The 22,049-nt window shown below is 40.0% G+C and overlaps 1 protein-coding gene across 19 annotated transcripts in view, besides 8 other annotated features; it reads left to right on the top strand.

The window, feature by feature from the left end:
- WIPF1 (WAS/WASL interacting protein family member 1) overlaps positions 1-22,049 on the top strand; it is a 123,340-nt gene that overhangs the window by 65,717 nt on the left and 35,574 nt on the right. The window contains exons 7-10 of one of the 19 annotated variants that reach the window (XM_047445757.1): positions 667-2,018; positions 2,807-2,999; positions 4,426-19,026; positions 19,339-19,596. The gene's annotated coding sequence lies outside the window, so the exon portion shown is untranslated. 19 annotated transcript variants of the gene reach the window in all.
- Positions 4,977-5,026: an enhancer, noted in NCBI's record as "active region_16781". NCBI's record gives its function as "activates an Ori minimal core promoter by ATAC-STARR-seq in GM12878 lymphoblastoid cells {active_cell/tissue: GM12878}" and the evidence as "EXISTENCE:reporter gene assay evidence [ECO:0000049][PMID:35858748]".
- Positions 8,421-8,680: an enhancer, noted in NCBI's record as "active region_16780". NCBI's record gives its function as "activates an Ori minimal core promoter by ATAC-STARR-seq in GM12878 lymphoblastoid cells {active_cell/tissue: GM12878}" and the evidence as "EXISTENCE:reporter gene assay evidence [ECO:0000049][PMID:35858748]".
- Positions 9,071-9,130: an enhancer, noted in NCBI's record as "active region_16779". NCBI's record gives its function as "activates an Ori minimal core promoter by ATAC-STARR-seq in GM12878 lymphoblastoid cells {active_cell/tissue: GM12878}" and the evidence as "EXISTENCE:reporter gene assay evidence [ECO:0000049][PMID:35858748]".
- Positions 10,426-10,515: an enhancer, noted in NCBI's record as "active region_16778". NCBI's record gives its function as "activates an Ori minimal core promoter by ATAC-STARR-seq in GM12878 lymphoblastoid cells {active_cell/tissue: GM12878}" and the evidence as "EXISTENCE:reporter gene assay evidence [ECO:0000049][PMID:35858748]".
- Positions 10,526-10,575: an enhancer, noted in NCBI's record as "active region_16777". NCBI's record gives its function as "activates an Ori minimal core promoter by ATAC-STARR-seq in GM12878 lymphoblastoid cells {active_cell/tissue: GM12878}" and the evidence as "EXISTENCE:reporter gene assay evidence [ECO:0000049][PMID:35858748]".
- Positions 11,491-11,990: an enhancer, noted in NCBI's record as "H3K27ac hESC enhancer chr2:175469935-175470434 (GRCh37/hg19 assembly coordinates)". NCBI's record gives its function as "activates a minimal SCP1, AML or CMV promoter by ChIP-STARR-seq in primed H9 embryonic stem cells {active_cell/tissue: H9 hESC(primed)}" and the evidence as "EXISTENCE:reporter gene assay evidence [ECO:0000049][PMID:30033119]".
- Positions 11,991-12,492: an enhancer, noted in NCBI's record as "H3K27ac hESC enhancer chr2:175469433-175469934 (GRCh37/hg19 assembly coordinates)". NCBI's record gives its function as "activates a minimal SCP1, AML or CMV promoter by ChIP-STARR-seq in primed H9 embryonic stem cells {active_cell/tissue: H9 hESC(primed)}" and the evidence as "EXISTENCE:reporter gene assay evidence [ECO:0000049][PMID:30033119]".
- Positions 19,191-19,370: an enhancer, noted in NCBI's record as "active region_16776". NCBI's record gives its function as "activates an Ori minimal core promoter by ATAC-STARR-seq in GM12878 lymphoblastoid cells {active_cell/tissue: GM12878}" and the evidence as "EXISTENCE:reporter gene assay evidence [ECO:0000049][PMID:35858748]".

Below are 22,049 nucleotides of genomic sequence, written 5' to 3'. Positions count from 1 at the left end.
TCAGACAAAAATCTCTGCTGCTTGTACCCAGCTTGAATATTATGGCCAACACTTGAAGAATAGAAAGCATCACTTAAAACATTTTAATTATCCCCACATGTAACATGGGCCCTAAATGTTCTGAACTGAAAACCTCACTATGTAGTTGAAGGTCAATGACACAAGTTTCAGATATTAAAGGTTTATCACTGTTTCCTGTCTTCCTATTAAAAAAAATGAAAAAAAAATCAAATAAATCATCAGTTGTGAGACAAATTTCCTTGATGACCAAAACCAGAGGGCTCTTTGGGCTTCCTTAATCCAGTTAGCAAGAAACACCTCAAAATAGCAATACAAAGCCAGGATTGAAAAGAATTTAAAGACCATTACTGACAAAGTTCTTGTCAAATAAAAGTTATTTGAAAATAAAAATAAGGATCTTTTTGAAATTTTGGTAGCAGTTGCCACCTGTTCTCTCAGAAAAGTAACTGCTTTTACAGAAAACTCTAAATAATTTTCAAAACCCAGTAAAACATGGTCTTTATTGCTTATGTATTCCCTTAATTTGAAGAATATTTTTAAACGCTCAAAAATGGAAAATTCAATGTTGGTCATCTTAAAGATTCTAGATGTATTTCAGCCCAAGCTTGACAAACAAGTGCTTTAGGTATCCTCTTCCCTCCTTAGCTCCTTAAGGACCACACTGTGGAAGGAAGACTGGAAAGGCCTCAGCAGGGGAGAAACCATGTGATGGAGGCTCAGAGTGGACTTCTGATCTAGTAGTGGCTTCAGGAAGGGACGCCAGACTTGCCATTCCAGCAGGGGTCGAGGCCTCCCTGTCTCGTGAAGAGGAAGGTGTGAAATCCTCTTATAGACACATGATTCTCTTTCAGTGTATTTTCTTTATTCCATCTTGACCTCAGGATGGATAACTCATCATCCCTTTTGGCACGGATCAAAATCCCTGGATAAATGCCAACCTTAAGTTTGCCTGCATGTGTGTAACCATGGCCAAGGTAAACTGGTCTCTTGGGTTTCTTTTGAGTTGAAATGAGCTGAGCTGTTTGTTTCCTCTGAGCCATATACAGATGCTTTTTGAACTATCTTTGTGTTTGAGGGAATTTTTTTTCATGGTATCAGCACACCACTTCCTCCAAGTCATTACTTTGAAACAGTTTTGTAGAGGGAGATATTCCTGCTGGCCACCAGCCTAGCCAAGCAAAGTGATGACTGAGGGATGGCAGTAAAGCTTTATTAGTGCACTTCATGTTTTTGGATGAGTTCATGAAATGATTTCTCATCCACTAATTTTGGCAAATAGAGGGTGGGCTGTCATCTGAGCTCAGCAGTAGAAAACAGCACTTTGTTAATACCAAGCATTGGCTCCCCTGTTTGAATGATACTCAGAATTTCAGCTAAAATAATGTCCTCCGATGACCTTTGCCTGCTCTTCTCTTTATAAGAATTCCACAGAACTCTTTTGAATATGGATTTCCACTTAATCTTTGATACTTCCAGGCTCTTGGGTCCTGATAAGTTTTAGAAACTGCAAGTTTAAGTGAAGCTGTTTTTAACTTCCCTTTTATTTTGCTTTAAATATTTTTAGCAATGAATGACCTTTGAATACTTTTAAATGTTGCTATACAAACATAAACAGTGCTTTTACTAACATATTTTATAAATATTTCCTTTTCCATAAATTCATAAATTGCTTTTGTCATAAAAATAGTAATATTTTATAGTATTTTAAGAGTAAATTCTAAGCCTTTAAGAACTTTTATGCCTACACTAAGGAAAATAGGACTAGAGACTTAAAATACATAACCATGCTACATTTATAGTGATTGTTATGTTCTCTGATTCATACATTAAAAACTGATGTGATTCCATAAAATTCTGACTGTATTTTTTTAATGTAATTGCTTATTTTGTATAGGAAGTGGGAGGAGTTATCCTTGAGGCAAATCACCACTGAATTGACCCATCCTTTTATCAACTTTATTTTTTTTTAAGCCCAAATTCTAGCAAAGCAATAACAGGTATCAGTTTCTTCCCTAAGTAATATATTGTACACTGTCTTTATTATGGTTTGGTGGCATTTTAGAATAAAGTCATAACTTTAAAACTTTTTTAAAGCTGCGCTTTTAAGACTGATTATATACATGTCACAGAATCCAGAGTAGAATGAATATATGTCGCTATTGTTCTCCATTGCTTGAACTTCTCCATGTTACTTATGCTGTAAATATTTTTGAGATATTCTCATCTTTGTGCATCTTAGAACTTCTGAGAAACTCTCATCTATATTCTCAAGATATTGGGGCAGAGGGAACATAGGAGAAAACTTAATCTCAACATTGGTGCAAACAGAGGTTGGAAAGCATTGCAGTGAACAATGCTAGTGAAGAGTAAGATGTACCTCCACAAGGTGTTTTGCAGCAGGTTAAGAGTATAGCTTGGATAGTAGGAAATTCTGTATACAGAAGCCTTTGTACTTTGGAAAATAAGATTTCATATTGATCTTCATACTTGTTTTCCATGAATGCCCTGACAATGAGAGTTGGATACTCTGTTTTCTGTGTGGTGTTCAATTTTGCCAAAGCTTTATTTGACTCTTGGCACTAGTACCTTTCACGTCAGAATGCCATCAGCTTGTGGTGGCAGAACTTGGGAATAATGATAGGAATTGTGGCATGTTTTTTTTTCTCACTTACGTAGTTAAATCAGATCTTGCCTCAAGGCCTATTTTCTCTCTGTTTGTTATGTGTCACCTCTGAAAACATTCCCAGACGTTTACTGTTCTCTTTGTTTACTCCTCAACCACTAGAATAAAGCAGACTTGAAAATAAGCAGTCTTCCATTCCCTAGTTGGGTGAGACTATCCGAAAAGCCTTTGAACATTTTCTTAGTGAAATGAAGAGGAGTCCTGTTCTCTGCAGTGGAGGATTTGGAGACAAGTGGCTCGGCATTCGGCTCTTGGAATTTTAACTTAACTACTAATTAGCAATGGCTCTCTCCAGGTGAAATGAAAACAAGTTAATGAACATAAAACCAACTTATTAATCCCCGTTTCTTAACTTTTAGGAGCAACTGTGTTTTTAGGAAATTTGTAGGGCATTTTCTTTCTGAATTTGTGTTCATTGAGTCTAGTGATATTTGGAATTACACAAAAATACAGAGGTATTAGTGAATGAGAGTGACCAGCACAAATTGAATGGATCAGTGCAGCTTTTTTAAATAGGGCTAAGTGTATCTGAAAATGAGTTTTAGATAAATGACATAAATGGAGACTCAAATGATTAGCACCTACTTTTTTCAAATATCAAAGAGTAAATTATTTATTCTTTTTTGTTTAAAATTTTAAAAAATAACCCATAACTCAGCATTATAAAAGTCTTCATTCTTACATTGCATTGAATTATCCCTCTGTAAACAAAAGGAGCCACTTTACCAGCTGTGTTCCCATGTTTGCCTTCTTACTTATCAATCTTGCCCTCCCTGCCCAACCTACCCTTGTTTCCTCTTTTACCAAGTAGCACGAACTGGGGAGAAGTTCTGCTCACTTAATAATCGTAATAGTAGCTAATGTTGTTGAGTGTTTAGTATGTACCAGGCACTTCATCTCAAAGCATCTGCCTGTCTAATTTAGAAATATCAAATATCTCCTAAGTGCAGGATGAAGAACTGTGCAAAGTGAGGAACATCCTGTCACAGGTCTTCACTTGGGAAGAGCCAGGTGGAAAGGAGATCAGTTGTCCTTCTAGCCCAGGACAACTGGAAATTACAGCCCACCAAGTAGACTGCTAGAGTTGCTTTGAATGACCTGTGCTCAAAAGAGGTTTTTATCATCAAGTTTGCAATCATAAAAAAATTCTAAACTAGATTCTACCTTTTCTAAAATATTTGCATAATGGCTAATGAAAATGGTAAAAATGAGAGAAGCTTGAGTATTCATTAGGTCAGCCTAAATTACACCTTGATTTCTGGGAACTTTGGTCTTGTGAACACTAAAATAAGGTGACTCAGGGTCACAACTGCTGTTTTCTGTACCTTAGACTTTAGAAGTTTACACGTCTGCATGTGCATAACATAAACCAAGGCATTCCTGCTTTTGCCTTTGAGGCAGGAAGAGCTATGGTAAGATGTGCCTAGAGGTCCTACCCTCTCCTCCCAGCATGGGATAGAAACATTTCTTACAGTGGTAAAAATTCTCATAGACTGCACAAAATTAGCCACAGCTAATAAAATAAAGGTAGTCCTTGGTTTATGAACATTTGGTTTATAAACACACAGAAACGGTCACTGCCTTCCACCCAGTCAGTCTACGAATGGTTAGAATATTTTATTTTGTTTATGAAAAATCATGGAGCTTTTAGGTAACCTTTAGGTTCAAATAGGAGGAAATAAGGAAAAGACTAAATCCCTGTGATTTTTTTTTAAATCCAGATAACAAACCACTAATGGAGTAAGATATACTAATAATGGAGAAGACAATAAATAAACCTATCAAATTGGCAAAGATTTTGAAACGTCATAATAGCACATGTTAAAAAGAAGAAATGAGTACTGATGGGAGTATGCAAGCTAAAACTTTGAGAAAATAATTTAATCGTATGTATCAAGATTCCTTAAAAAAAAACTGTTCATGTCTTCTAGTGATTGTACTCTAAAAATTTATCCTAAGGAAATACTATAAAATGATTACAAAACATTCAGATGCAAGTATATTAATTATAATAGGATTTGTAATAATGAAATTGGATGCAATTTAAATGTCTAACAATAAAAAATATTTACATAGATAATAGAACATCCAGAAAATGAGATATGCAACTATTAAAATTGTGTTAAGAGAATAATATGGGGAAATGTGAAAAAGAAGGATATATACAGACGCACGTACACATCCAAAGTATGATCCCATTTTAAATACAAACACAAAAAGAAAGAAAAACACTGGAAAGAAATTCTAAGATGATAACTGGTTTTCTCTGGGTATTAATGGGTGATTTTTAAAAATAGGTGGGGTATGGTGGCACACACCTATAATCCCAGTACTTTGGGAGGCCAAGGCAGGATGATTGCTTGAGGCCAAGAGTTTGAAGGTAGCCTAGGCAACATAGCAAGACTACGTCTCTACAAAAATAAAAAATTTGTAAAAATTAGCCAAGCGAGGCAGCATGCACCTGTAGTCCCAGCTACTCAGGAGGTGGGAGGATTGCTTGAGCCTAGGAGTTTGAAGCTGCAGCGAGTTGATCATGCCACTGCACTCTGGCCTGGGTGATAGAGCAGGAATCTGTCTCAAAAAAAAATAAAGTTATTTAAGTGAAGGAATCAAACTATGAAAAGTGGGAGAAACTTAACAAAGTTAACCCTAGACAGTGTGTGACTGTACTATGTGGTGTCTTCCTCCAACTAAATGTCTTCTCTGATCTCAAAAAAATTCAACATCATATGGGTTAACATGGGTTAACACCTCTCTTCTCTTTTAAATAAAAGACAACTTGATTTCCTCCTGATGCCTCAATGAGATCATCTTATCCCAGGAAAGGGAATTACAATTTAGGGTAAGAAATATTTGGGGGACAGGAGCCCCTTAGTGTCTTGCATGAGACCAAGGGAAAGTTTGGAGGTGGCCTGAAGGTGGGGGCAGAGGCAGAAGCTGAGGCTGGGGAGCCCCAGAGAGGGACGACCCTCCCTCCTCCTCCTCCTGATACCACCTTAAAGTCCTTTCCTTTGAGGACTCAGAACTGAAGTTTTAGTTTAGTGACATTATGAACTAAATATACTTTTGTGGGCTGGCCTAGCAATATATCATCAAGTTTTTTTGTTTGTTTGTTTTTGTTTTTGTTTTATGGAAATGGTCCTTGGATTGAAACGACTAACCCCCAAAGGACTTTGGAGCCCTTTCCATTTGCATCCTAGTTTGCCTGGATTAGTGCTGCTCTGACAGTGATCTTGGTGAGGCTGCTCTTCATAATATAATATGAGCTGGGCCTAAATGAACACCTGCACAGCATAAAACAGAGGGTAAATTTCCTTCCACACATCATCAACGCAGATAGGAGTGTAAGCTCCATGACGGTGGACAATTTTGTCTGTTTAATCTTTGTAGTATCCCCTAAAGCAACCTTGGAACATGAAGATACTGAGTATTTGTTGAATGGCTGCTGTGCATGGAGCCCTAGCACAGCTGCTCGCTAGTTAACAGTGGCATTAGAGACACACAAAGATTATAAAACACTTCTATTTCTAGAAAGTCATCTACAGTTTTGTGCGTTTTTCTTTTGGCTGGAGAAGAGGGCCGGGAGGTTGAGTGTGGGGCCAGATCTGGGGGAAAAGGTCAGTGACTGCAGGGACCTAGAGGTTGGAGAAGCTCATCTGGAAGGAGGAAGTGCTGGTGACAGAGAGGAGCCGTGGTCAGGAGCTGGGTGAGCTGTTGACCAAGGTGGAGGTTATGTCGGGCTATTCTGACACGTTGACCTTAGCCACAGTTCCCAGACCACTACTTAACTTGCCTTGCCAAGACACAACTGCCATCCAAAGCCAGGAGTAGCACCCAGCTTGAGTTTTGTTTAATCATTGTTTCATTTTATTTTTGTGTGTTTTTTGTTTTTATTTAATGATGGTGGGGGTGAGGCAGGGAGAGACCATTTATATTTTTTTTCTACTTTGTCCATTTATCTTCCTGAGGGTGTCCTACAAAACATAAACCACATGTGGTTTTTATACCCCAAATTTTTGTGGTTTGTTATTCCCAAACTAGTCAATATTTAAATGTAGTCATGGAGCTGCTTTTTACATAAGCCACCAACTGATCATTTTGTTGGAATGGATCTGAAACAGAATGAAATGGTCCAAGTCTTTGGATTAAGCAGCTTCCGTGTTGTGGGGAAAAGAGTCAACACGGAGCAGAAAGAAAATAAAACCCACACAAAATGGTGGGGAACTGGTCACTTTCTGATCACACATTTTCTGATCCTACCACCACCCCTGCATACGTATTTGGAGTTAAAGGAACAACATATGTGCACATGCTCCAGCAGGAAGCATTTTCCTTTGTCTTTCCTGTGGCCTGATAAGGTATTGACCCCATCGAGGCAACCCGAAAGTGTTTTTCCAACAATCTGTTTCCCCAGTCAGTCATTTGAAGAATCCAGAGAAGCTGAATGAGAGGAGGGAAGTTCTTGGAGGGAATCTGGGGTCATTCGAGTAGAACAAATTCTGTTCTGGCCAAGCCACTGAGAAAAGCAGGATCTGCTGAGAAACAGGAGAAAGAATCACCCACGCCTCTGTGATATGTTTGGTAACAAAATGTGAAGCTCCTTCACAGGATCAGAGGTGAGTAGCTGTGGTGGTCTCCACTGCCCAGGCTGGATGAGCAGAATCGTCTGATTGGCCTTTCATGACTTTAAACGGAGCTCAGGCACATGTAGACATCCCAGGACCACCAGAAGCAGTGGCTCCCAGCCCCGACTGACCCCGTGCCCACTTGTAATAACAGTATTTTCTAATGCCCTCTTCAAAATCTTCAGTGAACCTTCACAAATAAAATAATCTGACTTCACACACAATTTCCCTCCAAATCAATGTAGTCTTAATTTAAAAGAGAAATGAAAGTAATTTATTATAAAATAACTTCAGTTTGTAAGTGATCAGGTACAACTCATCAGAAAACAAAAGTACATGGTCAGGTGTTTGCGTGTATGCGTAGGATCACGGTGGGTGTGACAGCTGCCATTGCAGGCTCTCTTGAGTTAAAGACTTCAGTAACACCATTGACATTGTCCTTGGGCTCATGATTTTCCAAAGGGGCAACTAACTCTTGGTAAATATCTGAACAAAACAAAGTATTTCATTTGTATGACATTTGCATTACCGGAAAATACAGGGAATGAATACAACAGTGCAATAACTATTTTGAGTTTATGTATAAATTGGAGTTAAGGTCTAGGCTCAGATAACTAGAAATAGTTTTTTCAACCACATCAATATGTAACAGGACCTTTGAAGGTCCTGTGGGACAATTCTTTACTGAGTGAGACAGTGTGGTACATTGCAGATCATCTGAATCCCAGGAAGGCCCCCCATTCTTATGGCACTCACAAATGCCCACCATTTACTGTCCACCTGCAGAGTAGTTGGGTCTGCCTCTCCCAGGCAGCTGCACTAGCCAGGCCTGGCTTATATGCAGTCAGAGGGCCCCTAGGGGAGTCTTAGGTCACTGAGCCCTTCCCACAGTGTTCAGATGGGTGGTGTCAGGCCCAGAGGTGCAGAGCTATTTACCCTTGTTCCTGAGAATCCAAGGGAGGGGCCTTTAGTGTCCATATAGTTCTGTCCTCCAGCAGGTGATACTGAGTAGCCATTTAGCTACAGAGAAGTCTGAATAAGGAACAATATGGCTACTTTCACCAGCCCAGAAGTAATTGTAAAGGCCCATTCTGGCCTTTATACCTAATGATTAGCAACCATAGGGAACACACAGCTATCTTCATGCCAGCAGCTTCTCTCAGTGTGTGTGCACAAGTATGTACCTGGCAGGATGTGAAAATGGGGCTTTCCACCAGTTTCTCCCTTGGGTTGCAAGAAGCCTCTTTCTATCATTCACATGGGTTTTCCCCTGGGGGCCACTTATATTGGATGCTGGTAACTGGGAAATGTTTGCATTTTAATTAAATTACCTAAGACAAGATAGTGCTTAGAAAAAAAAAAGAAAAAAACATGAATGGTCTTTCCACATGTGAAATCATTTTCTCTTCAAAGAAATAAGGCAAGTGATGTTCCAACCTCAGCACTTGTATTTGTTTGCTTTTTGTTTCTTGGTTTTTGCTGAGCACAAAACTGCCAAACTCAGCATGGAGAGGTGAACTTCCACGCTGTGTCCTCAGCATCTAGGGTACTGGCATCAGGCACACAGGGGCATAGAATGCAGATTTGTTGGATATGAGTACGTGAAGCCGTTATGGGACTGTCCTTTCTAGATAGTCCTGGGCCTCTTTTTTTTCACCCTAGTTTGGTTCCCCTGCCTCTTTTCCAAGTCAGTCATCTCACTATTTTCTAACTCATTCTCTTCCTGACACTGGCAAACAGCCCTGCGTGAGAAAGAGTCGTTAAATCTGTTGGCAGGGCCCCCCATTATTGTCTTTTTAAATGGCTGTCTTGTGTCAACCTGTTGGGAGAAGCAAGAGCCTCCCCAGGTCTTTTTGGAGAGCAAATCTAACAATTTCCACTTTATCCTGGCACCTTTTTGCCTAGAGCCAAACGTGGAGCAGCATAATCACAACCCCAGGTTAAGTGAAAGTTAGAACTAAACTTAGAGCTGGAAGCTTGTAAAATTCACTTACAAATATTTTCAAGCACCTGCATTATGCCAGATACTGTTCTAAGTTGTTGGGGCAGCAGCAGTGACCAAGACAAACTCTGCCCTCGTGGAGCTGCCTCTCTGGTGGGAAGAGCAGATCAGGCACAAATACTGCAGAACATGAGTGGAGTGAGGGGAGCAGCCAAGAGAACAGTGTCCTCAGAAGAGGGGACAGCAAGCACAAAATCCCTAAGGCAAAGAGATGGGGGGAGAAGGTAGGGAAAGAGGTCAAGGAAGGAGAGGGGAAGTGGGGGAGTGTCAAATCCTCGAGGACCTTGCTAGTCATGGCAAGGACTTTAGGTTTTACTTGGTATAAAATGGAAAGCCACTGAAGTGTTTGAGTCCGTGAATGCTGTAGTTTGTATGTGTCCCTTGAAGTTCATTTGTCAGAAACTTAATCCTGAATGCAACCATGTTCAGAGGTGGGACTTCTTTATTTTATTTTATTTTTTTTGAGATGGAGTCCTGCTCTGTTGCCCAGGTTGGAGTGCAGTGGTGCGATCTCGGCTCACTGCAACCTCCGCCTCCTGGGTTCACTCCATTCTCCTACCTCAGCCTCCCGAGTAGCTGGGATTACAGGCGCCCGCCACCACGCCCAGCTAATTTTTTGTATTTTTAATAGAGACGGGGTTTCACCGTGTTAGCCAGGATGGTCTCGATCTCCTGCCCTCGTGATCCGCCTGCCTCAGCCTCCCAAAGGAGAGGTGGAACCTTTAAGAGATGATTAGGTCCTGAGTGCTCTGCCCTTATAAATGAATTAATGTCCTTATCATGGGACTAGGTTAGTTATCACAAGAGTGGGTTCTTGATAAAAGGATGAATTCTGTTTCCTTCCTTCCCTGCCTCTCATTGTGCATGCTCTCTTGCCTTCAGCCATGGTAATGACACGGCAAGAAGGCCCTCACCAGATGTGGCCCCTCGACCTTGGACTTCTCAGCATCCAGAACCGTATCTGGCCTTTTCATAAATTACTCAGTCGCCAGTATTCTGTTACAGCAGCACAAAACAGACTAAGGCAATGTATTTTTTCTGAGCCCTTAATTTAAAACTTCTTTACTGCAGTATCTCTTCACATGTGGTACTAGAAGTGTTAGCACTAAGACCTCGGGGAAGAGAAGCCAATTTAGCTCTTCTACTGGCCACAAATCCAACAATACCTAGTCAATTCCTTGTTTTAAGAGATGGCTTCAAGCAGAATAAACTCTTCCTAAGAATTTATAACTATAAAGCGCAGAGTTGGCTCTAGGTGGACCAAGACTTTTCCGGGACTGACATTGATTGAACATCTGTTAAGTGTCATTCAGGCATCCTGCCAGCATAAAAGATGAGTAAGATGGGGCCTGCGTGTCAGGCCCTCACTGTCTAGAGTTGTGTTGCCCAGTGTGGTAGTGGCTCTGGAGCACTTGAAGTGCTGCCAGTAGTAAAGTAAACACCAGTTTCTGAAGACTTCTTGTGAAAAAAAGAGTATAAAATACCTAATTCATAGTTCTTTTCAAATGTTTAGTACATGTTATAATGATACTATTTGGGGGGATTTTCATTGGTTTTTTTGATACTATTTTTGAAGTAGTGTGTTAAAAGAAAATATTACAATCTCACCTATTTACTTTTACTATTTCTAACATAGCTCGTAGAAAATATAGAATTGCACACGTAACTCAAATTATATTTCTACTGAACAGTGCTGATCTAGAAAAAAGGGTCTGTTCTTTTGTTGGTTGGACTTTTATTTTTACTTTTTTATTGCCACTAATAATGGGTGTTCAGATTTTGAGAGTTTACTCCTTTTCTGGGAAGAACCACTTGTTCTTTGACCATTGTAGGGGAGCCCTCATTCTATCCAGTTTCTCCAAGAGCAAAAGAAATTATTTTGAGAAGTAAAAGGTAACTTCTGTAACTCTGTAAGTTACCTCTACAAGTCTGAGCATTTTTACACTAGATTAAGCAAACCTCTTTAACAGCCTCTAGTGGATAAGGAAGGGAATGAGCCACAAGTCTTTTTTTTTTAATGCTTTTTGTTATGGAAACATTTTAAATATATATGAAAAGTAGACAGAACTGTGTAACAAACTGCTGTGTACTCCTCACCCAGCTTCAAGAATGGCTATTTCATGATCAATTTTGTTTCATTTGTACCCCTACCCACTTTCCCTCCTTTTCTATATTACTTTGGAAACAAGCCCAGGCATCATATTTCATCCACAAATATTTCAGTATATATCTCTAAAAGTTAGGGATTCTTTGTAAAATACAATATAACCACAGTAACATTATCACACCTAACAATTATCAATATCTTAATATCATTAAATATCTGAACAATATCCAAATTTCCAATTGCCTCATTTTTGTTTTTTAGTTTATTTGACTCAGGATCCAAGTAACATCTACACGTTGCCTTTTGTTTGTTTGTTTGTTTGACACAGAGTCTTGCTCTGTCGCCCAGGCTGGAATGCAGTGGCGTAATCTCGGCTCACTGTAACCTCCGCCTTCCGGGTTCAAGCAATTCTCCTGCCTTAGCCTCCTGAGTAGCTGGGATTACAGGTGCGCACCACCCCACCACGCCCAGCTAATTTTTGTATTTTTGGTAGGGACAGGGTTTCACCATGTTGGTCAGATTGGTCTCGAACTCCTGATATTGTGATCCGCCTGCCTCTGCCTCCCAAAGTGCTGGGATTACAGGCGCGAGCCCCTGCGCTGGCCCACATGTTGCTTTTGATTGCTGTACCTCTTGAGTCTCAGGCTCCCCTCGCTCTTACTGCATTGGCTTCATGCTCAGTCTCCACGTCTATAATGTGGGTATAATACTGCCATTCCAGCCCCACACCTCTAATGTGGATAACATACTACCAATTCAGCCCCACACACCTTAGAATAAGTCTCACTACATCTCCTTGGTTCAAAAGTAGTCTCTGAACCAGTCACTGCAGCCAGGGAACCCAAGGCTTTAATTAGCCAGGGCTGGTCACTTTCCATTCCTGGAGTCAGAGTAGAGTTACTCCAGATCTGGATCATAATCCCAAAAGACACAGTCCAGAACACCATAATCCCGAATGTTGAAATTCCCAAAGATGAAAATCCCTAAAGTATAAATCTCTAAAGTCTAAAATCCTGAACATCTAAAATCCCCAAAATCACAATCACAGAATAGCTGCATCATGTTAGGCCAGCTCTTCGGACTATCTCCATGCAATTGCCCATAATCTATCCCCATAATACTCTTTTCATATGTTGAATTTTCTTTTTAGTTCTTTTTCTTATTTTAGTTTTTTTTCCACTATTTTAAAGTTTCAGCATGATTTTTTATAATTCACTATGCCATCTATTTCATCTTTTCATCATTTCCAATACTGGACATATACATTGTGAAGAGACTTTTGGAAAATTCTAATTCATTAAATGCCTTTTTTGCAAATTTAACTCCATAAAAATGCATCAGCACAGCATTGACTTTGTGTGTAAGCATTGCGCATATACATAAAAATGTTGAAACATCCTCAATAAATGAAGAGATGGCCTTTTATACAAATCTGCGTTTGTGAAGAAAATTTCTTGAGATCTCAGCTCTTTGGGCAACTGCCTATGTGGTAACTGCATGTCACAGTTTTTTATTGATCTCATCAAAAGATTCTTTGTCACAGTATTTCAGATGACCAAATTTATAAAGCTGGGCACAAACAATACCAACTGTAGTGATATGCATTTGTACACTTCTCTTCTTGCCCTATTTCTTTATGAATACAGATGTCTGCTTATAACTTCTATACCTGTGCTACTGTCGTTGGAATACCTGAGTGTTTATGCTTGCAAAAATATTTGTGTTATTATTGTCTATTTTATTGTGTAAAATGGCCTATGAAGTGTTCTGTCATGTTTTTATATGTTTCTTAAATAAATCCTCCTTTAAAATGTAAATAAATATCTTTCAAATAATTCTCTATTATTTCTTCCAGAATTATATTTTCAGGATTTTGATCTTTTGGGATTTCAGTATTCAGGATTCTGGTGTTTGGAATTGTGTCTCTCAGGATTATGATCGGGTCCCTCCCCACTCTATCTAATGTTAGCATGCTGTAGAGAATTTGGGTTTTCCAACCTGCAAGTCTCCAAATTATTTGACTCTCACCCATCTTGGTTGCAGATCACAGCCAAAAAAAGGCCTCTCTTAACAAAGCCGTATTTTTTCCCTCTGTGCCTCTAGTCAGTTTTGAGCCTACATTTATCTCTTTCCTGTGGATCTTACTAAAAGACACAAGAAATAGCCAACACACTGCACCATTCTAAATGCTTTTCCAGTGAATCCATTAATGGTGTACCATGAGTAGGCTCCTGTCTCAGACCGAGGAGTCAATAGGTGGCAGCATAACTAGCTATTTTGTTGTCACTTAACAAGGACTGCCAATTTTCCAGTCCAGGCCAGCCTGCGCTAGCCTTCCCCAACCTCAAATCAGCCAGTTGCACATTTTAGGCTTAGTCACATTCAACACTCACTTCTAGTACCAATTCCTTTATCACTTAAGAGTCTTTGCATTGCTAATGATAGAAAACGTGACCATACCAGCTTAAATAAAATAGAGAATTTATTTGCATAAATTAAAGGTCTAGAAAAAGGCCATCTTCAGTTATAGATAGATTCAGGGCTCAACCAACAACACCAGCACTTGGTTTTTCTCCCTCTTCCAATTCCCATTTTGTTGGTCTTGGTTTTAGACCCCATGTGGTCAAAGGATGAGTGCAGCAGGCCCATCCCCTACATCCTCAACAGATCTGGTTCCAGCCTCATCCCTCAGGGATAGAGCTCGCCTCAGCCTACAAATTTCCTTGATTCTGATGATCACAAGCCATCACCAGAAGTCTCTAGGGCCAAATGAATGCAAGGCTCTGATTAGCCAGCCTTGAATCACATGCTTTTCCTCTGTCTGGAATGGGAGTGAATGCCTCTGGATGCACATGGTTTGAGAGTGAGCACGGGATGATTCTCCATACAAACAAATGGACGTGATTATAAGTAGGGGGAATGGTTGCTGAGCTGCCAAAACACAACAGAATACACTGCAGACTTTTCCCCAAGTAAGATTACATCAATTTATATTAACAGGGTGCAGAATACTACAAGGTTTGTTTTTAATTTATCTATGTTTCTGAGATTATTTTTAAATGATCAACCCTGTATGTAGCTGTACTGATAATTATGTGGTGGAGAGGATTATTCCTTTGTTTCTGCTCTTTTAAATCAAATAATTCCCATATTTTAACATTTTGAAAATAGATTCTTACAACTAATGCATATCTTTAATCTGGTAGTGTTTCTTTTTCACCCTAAAAATCTATAAGGAGTCATTCTGCAGTATAAGAAGGAATAATGTAAGTTTTAGAACTGCGGGATGCAGTATTATAAAACACCTTTCCACTACTGGGGAAATACTGCACCATAACAGGTAGTCATGGAAACACAACTTGAAAAACCAGAATTATTTAAAACTTATGTTGCCATATTTTACACATGCCACTGTTGCACTGATTCAGTCCATGTTGACTGGGGGCCACGGCAGGAGGCTGTGATTCTTCAGCACTTTTTCTACACTGGCTAGACCTACATTATTGTTTTATAATCTTCTGCCTGCTCTTGGTTTTTTATTTCTATAGATTAATATGGAGGATTCTTTATGTGATTGGTCTGCGAGCCTATTGGTTATTGTTTTACTCTGTCATTAAGCTCAGACTGATGCATATTAAATGGGAAAGAGATACGCATTTAAAATTCTCTTTAAGTCCAGAATTGTGATTGTCTTTATTCATCCAGGCTTTCAATCCACTTATCTCAGGCCTTTGGTTATAGTATAACAACCTCTCCCATCCGCATCACAGCCTTTCTCTCCACCCTCTTTCTTCTGCCTCTTCTTGTACTTACAGAAAGGAGGTAGGTGGTATCACCCGAACCTGAAATGAGGCTAAAGACATTAATGGCGCTGGACAGTGGAGTGGAGCCCAGGCTTTGGCCACTGCTCTGCTGCTGCCAGCTGTGTGACATGAGCAGGATGCCTAACTTCTCTGGACCCCTGTTTCTTCCTCTGTAAGTGGTGATGTAGACTTTGATCTCTGCAAGTCTCCTGCAGCCTTAAAGTTCTTTTCTTTTTAAAGAACGTGGCTGCTGGAAAAGCTGACACTGAGCTGAGAACTCCGCTTCACTGCGGAAGGCCAGACAGCACTGTTACATCCAGCACCTGTGGGTCATCCACTGCAGAGGTGGCTTCCAAAGCCTCTGAGGTCAGCAGTGTGGTTGTAGCTCTCCTCTACCCACCACATGATCTCTCCCCATCTCCAGCTTTTCTTGCCTTATTTTCTTTATCTTTTTATTTCCCCCCCTTCCTTTCTGATTGTTCTATTTGTTTTCAATTTTCTTAATCCATTTTTCTCTTCACATTGCCCAATGGTGTAAGCCACCTGCACTGCATAAGACTCTGCCTGCACTGCCAGGCCCACTGATGGGCCAAGGGTTTTACCTGCTGACCTTTTCTCTGGAAAATTTCCCTTTAACAGCTTCTCCCAAGAAGGCTTAAGTCTAGTCTTGGCATTTGTTATTTACCATTTCAGGGGGAACAGTCTTAAGCTTTTAAAGGAACATTATGCTGGGCAGCGTGGTGGTTCACACCTATAATCCCAGCACTTTGGGAGGCTGAGGTGGACAGATCACTTGAGGCCAGGAGTTGGAGACCAGCCTGGCCAACATGGCGAAACCCCGTCTCTACTAAAAATACAAAAAAAAAATTAGCCAGGCGTGGTGGTGCACGACTGTAGTCCCAGCTAGGGAGGCCAAGACATGAGAATCGCTTGAACCTGGGAAGTGAAGATTGCAATGAACCAAGGTCATGCCACTGCACTCCAGCCTGGGTGACAGAGTACGACTCTGTCTCAAAAAAAAAAAAAAAAAAAAAAAAAAAAAAGGAACATTATGCTGTAGTAGAATTCGTAAGAAACATTGATTTTCTTTTCCATTCAACAAACACTATTTTCAAACACCTGCATTAGATGCTGAAGCAACAGCAGTCAAACACCTGCATTAGATGCTGAAGCAACAGCAGAAACAAGATGGACAAGGTCCCTGCTCTCATAGAGCTTGAATTCTAGTGGAGAGAAACATACAAGTAAATAAACAGATAAATAAGACAGTGTCAAGCGGTGACGCATGCTATGCATAAAAGAAAACAGCAGAAATGGGTCATGAGGGAGAGCATTTTTGCTGACATTTGAAGAATAAAAAGGAACAAAAAGATGAGTGTACCAGGCGTGAGTACCAGGCTTGCAAGTAAAAGGCCTGAAGATGCAAATGAGCTTGGTGCATTTAAGGAACAGAAAGATTTGGAAGGTAAATTAGCAAGGCAGAATATTACTTGAGATGAAGGCAGAGAGTTAAGGAGGGGCCAGATCTCGTGGGTCCCTGTGGACCTAAGAGTTTGGACTTTTTAAGTGAAATGAGAAGTCATTGGAGGGTTTTAAGCAGGGGAGGAACATTATCTAATTTATGTCCTAACATGCATAGTAGACACCTGATAAATGTGTCCAAAGTTGACTGTAGGAATAGACTCAAACTACACAACTACTCCCTTGCATGTCTTGGGGACTGCAGCCTTCTAGGTGACATACTCCCTTCTAAGTGAGCTTTTCCTAAGGTAGGGGTCTCCAACCAGTCTATGGCCCCTTAGGAACCAGGCCACACAGCAGGAAGTGAGCAGCTGGTGAGCAAGTGTTCCCTCCTGAGCTCTGCCTCCTATCAGATCAGCTGCGCATTAGATTCTCAGAGGAGCAAGAATCCTAAAGTGAACTGTGCATGCGAGCTCCTTATGAGAATCTAATGCCTGATGATCTGAGTTGGAGCAGTTTCATCCTGAAACCATCCCCACCCCCTGCCCCCACTCCGTGGAAAAATTATCTTCCACAAAACCAGTCCCTGGTGCCAAAAAGGTTAGGGACCACTCCCCTAAGGGATGGAAATAGCCATGAATGGTATGTGTACTGAGAGAGAGAGAGAGAGAGAGAGATAGCTAGAGAGAGAGAGAGAGAGAGTGTGTGTGTGTGTGTTTGGGGTGTCTTACTTAGAGAACTTCAAAATAATTCTGAAAATACGTAGAGAAATTGTCATATCGCCCATGTTCTCTTTTTAGACCCAACTATAATTAGACTTCCCCAAAGATTCACTCAGGCATTTACTTAATAGTTGATCAAGTTTTCTGTTTTCCTGAGGGTTTGTATCGCGGGAAGTGGCTGATAGCTGTAGGCCTCCACCTCTGTCCAGCCCCATGCCTGCAGGTATTTATTTGTGACCTAAGTCACGGGTGGACACCAGGCCAGAGTTAGACAAGAGGCGGTCCCTGCCTTCAAGGGGCTCCAGGCAAAGCAGAGGACTCTCAGTCACTTATTCTTGGGTACTCCACTCCAGGAACTGTGCCCATGGCCTGGCATCATGAATCTGCTCATGCAATTAGACTCCTATCTCAGGGAATTTTGAGTTTAAAAGATCCTTAGACATCATCTGTCCCAGTACTCCCCAGTAGGAGCACTTCTGGTATTTTGGGTGGGACTGTCATAAGCACCATAGGAAATTTCCCATTCCTGGCCCCACCCACTGAATGCTACAGGCCCCTGCCCCCACCATTCCCACTCACTGCTCACCACCCCCAACAGCTACCTGAGTTGAAAATTACTCATCTAGCCCAGTTCCATCACTTTACAGGTAAGGCAATGTTAGACAACATACGTTCTTTTCATGCCTCTGGCCTCTGATCCTAGCAGAATCAGGACCCAACATTCAGATTTTACAATGAAGCTAGTTTCTGAAATATGCCTCTCTTTTAAATTCTTTGACTGTTACTGTTTTCTCAGAGTTATATACTATGTGTTGCATATGTAAGTCTGAACCTTTAAGATGGGTTAAGAAAAAATTATGAGCATTTTCAGATCGTTCTATACATAACTCAAGGTTTTGATAAAATGTTTTCTACATGTATTCCATTGCCATCCACCTCTTGAGTTCTTTAATAATGAGAAATCTGACTTTCTTCCTTCCACCCTCTTTATCTCTATGCTTTTGTCAAGCATCTTCTAGGAGAGTTACTGTTATCCCATTAAGTGTGGGGGACAGAAACATTTGGCATAGAAAGCTATGGATCTGCAGCTGACTTAAGCTGTATATTATTACCCTGACTTGGGCACCAAAATCACGTTTCAAAACTCATTTGCTGCCAAGTATGGTAGCTCAAGCCTGTAATCCCAGCAATCTGGGAAGCTAAGATGGAAGGATCACTTTGAAGCTAGGAGTGCAAGACCAGGCTGGGCAACAAAGCAAGATCCCATCTCTACCAAATATAAAAATAAAATAAATTAGCCAGGTGCAGTGGCATATGCCTGTAGTCTCAGCTACTCAGGAGGCTGAGGCTGGAGGATTGCTCGAACCCAGGAGGTCAGGGCCACAGGGAGCTATGATTACGCCACTGCACTCCAGCCTAAGTGACAGCAAGACTGTCTCTCTAAAAAAAAAGAAATAAATAAAACAAAACCAAAAAAAGAACCTCATTTGCCTTCATACACCTGACCTGCTCTCTTTACCTGCATTTGTAACTTTCTCCCCACACACTTGAATGCCCTGTAAATGAGAAGAAGCCCTTAGCCTAATGAAGCGATAAGGTAAGGTAGGTAAGAGCTTTTCTTTCTTGAGTGACTCTTTTCCCTATTACTCAATGGAATAGTCAGTATTTACAGTGATACTTTCAAATATAATTTTCCTAAAGGAATCTCAAGTTCCATGAACAGTTATTTTTGTGGGAATATCTAGAATAAAGTTGGACTCTTCACTGAGTGGAGGTGCTCATCTCCTCTTGTCACTGTACCAAATAGCTGTGTATTACACCTTGTGGGGAGGAGAAACATTTAATTTTTTTTAATTTAGGTTTTTTTTCTTGCTTGCTTCTTAAGCAAAACCAATCTAGTTTCTTTTTCTGCAGCAAAGGAGGAAGGAACAACAAACAACAAATTAATCAGACAGGAAGCGAATAACCACAGAAGGACGTCTGCCTCTGACTCAGTATGTCACATTTAACAAGAGGCCAGAGCTTGTCCAAAATGGCTGTCCAAAAACGACCCCACACTTGCGTTAGAAGATGATACCTTTTTCAGGGACAGTTTTCTCTCTTGGCTCCTGTCCCGCTGGCCCTCTGTCTGCCTGTGTCCCTGACCATGGCTCCCTGCAGTACCCTTTAACGGTAAGAAAAATTATATTCAAACTAAGTTTATTTCATTTATCAGCTACAGGGAAGAACTAAATGGCTTTTAATGGACCATAGTATGTCAAGATAAAGTTGTTTAATTTTTCTGTAGAGCACCATGTGAGCTATTCCTGTTGCCCAGAATGCTAGTTTCACCACTATGGTGATTGTGAATGATTCATAACTTATGCTTTGAGCCAAAATGTAAGCAAGATTTTCAATAGAATTTTTTTGACCACTGGACAAGTTTGGATCCACAGGAATTTATTTTCCCATTTAAATTGGGGGCTTATGTCGGTAAATATATCCTTTTGGTGTATGATACAGTTGTCCACACAACTGCCTTTGAATCTTTGGTGTGGCCAGCAACAATAAGTGCTTTAAAGTACAAGGAGCCATTGGAAGCTTCAAACGAAAATACCATGGAACTAAGCTGTTGCAGTTCTGTTGCTGCCAATGTGCTATTTAAGTTCAAAACTCAAACTAAACCATTTCTAAGCAGAGTCTTTTATAATACGATTTGTCTTTTAGAATAAGTCTATTCCTGTTATAACAGTGTGTGCACAATTACTATCGCAAATCAAATTCTACAGCATTAGTTATAACTTTATGTTTAATATGATTAATGTTTTGGCATAAAATATTGTGATTTTTAAAATTTCAAGCCATCTACTCAGAGGCTTATAGAGCAGAACTAAGGAAACTTTTTACATTAAAAAACTTTTTTCTAGAATATGTAGGAAGAAACAATTTGACTTATGTTCCTTTCTCCCCGTGAAGAAATATAAAATAAAGCTTTAAAAAACTCAGAAGGCACATATAACTTTAGTCACTAAGTACAAGTTTTTTGTTTTTTTTGTTTTTGTATTTTTAGTAGAGACAGGGTTTCATCATGTTGGTCAGGCTGGTCTCAAACTCCTGACCTCAAGTGATCTGCCCGCCTCGGCCTCCCAAAGTGCTGGGATTACAGGCATACAAGTTATTTTAAATAATTTAATGGCATAACTAGTATATGTAGTAGAGAATGGAGAGGTGGTAAATGAAAAGGCTACTGAAAGATTCTAACTAAGCAAAGTAAGACAGCTTGGTAGAGAGAAAGATGAAAGACTGGGGAAAGAATAGGACAGGACAGTGAGAAAGGAAGATGAGAAACTGGGAAAAGGTTTTGAGGTTGATCTGTGTGGAAATCATACTCTTACAATTCACTTGGACTACAGTGCTATGTGTTAACTTTATCAAGCTTTGTTCTTCTGTACTGGAATATCATCATGTCAAAACTCTTCCTTTTATCAGTCTAAGGTCATTAAATGACTTACCTGAAAGTCATTTTTCACTAAGTCAGGTTTTCTATTGCTCTTTGAAAAGTTTATTCATGGGCTATTTGCTCATAGCGCTTCAGCTACTCTAATATCTAACCTTTTAAGGGTTACACATACTCTGGGTGGACTGAAATATTCAGAGAACTCCCTGTGGTGAAAATTAGTTCCTGGGATCGAGCAGCAACTTCAGATCTGATCAAATTCTAAATCTGGCCTGTAGGCTGGAAGTTCCCCAGCCTACCTAAAATATGAGATGAAGTGATACTGAATTCCTGGACCCTTTAAGTGTTATGACCTTTTGAAGCCTTCTTAACATTTTATGAACACACATCATTTACTTTGGAAGTTTCTGGCTGTTTAAATTATGATATATTTCTGCTTTAAGGTTTGACTCATTTTGTCCAAATTGTTAAACATGTGCTTGTTGTTGAAGAAAGCATTTCTCCTGGACTTCCATAAATACCTCTGTCTGTCCTGAAAATTAAAACTGTAAAAAAATACTAGAATAAGGAATGCCTTAATCAGTATGCTTTTCTGAGAAATTTGAAATGCACTTTATACACATCTCCCTTCACCATTCACTTGTAATATGGAAGTTTGCATGGGTGTACACACATAGGCTGATTTAAATCAGCTCATGGTTTCTCTTTCTCGTGGTTAAATAGGGGGAAAGACTGTGATATTTACTGACCACTTATTTTGTGTTACGTTCTTCACCTTTGCTTATTTTATTTTTTGAAAATGGCTAATACTTATTAAGCACTCCTTCATTTAACTCTTGAATAACCCTACTAAGTAGGTGCTATTATTTTGAAAACCGGACTTACATAAGCTAAGTAATTTACCCAAGGCCACCTAACAACTAAATGTGGAGGAAGTTATCTGAATTGTAAGAGCTTTTTTTCACAAGTGCAGCTTGGAAGCAACATTATAAATTGTATGATTTCTGTTTTTCTTTTTCTTTTCTGTTTTTTTTTTTTTTTTTTTTGAGACAGGGTTTTGCTCTGTCATCCACACTGGAGTGCAATGGCATGATCACAGCTCACTGCACCCTCAAACTCCTGGACTCAAGCAGTCCTCCCACCTCAGCCTCCCAAGTAGCTGGAACTACAGATGTGTGCCACCATGCCC

Source organism: Homo sapiens, chromosome 2, assembly GCF_000001405.40.
Source record: "Homo sapiens chromosome 2, GRCh38.p14 Primary Assembly".
Classification (NCBI taxonomy): Eukaryota; Metazoa; Chordata; class Mammalia; order Primates; family Hominidae; genus Homo; species Homo sapiens.
The sequence above is the reverse complement of the archived record's forward strand: the minus strand, read 5'-3'. Positions and strand labels throughout refer to the sequence as shown.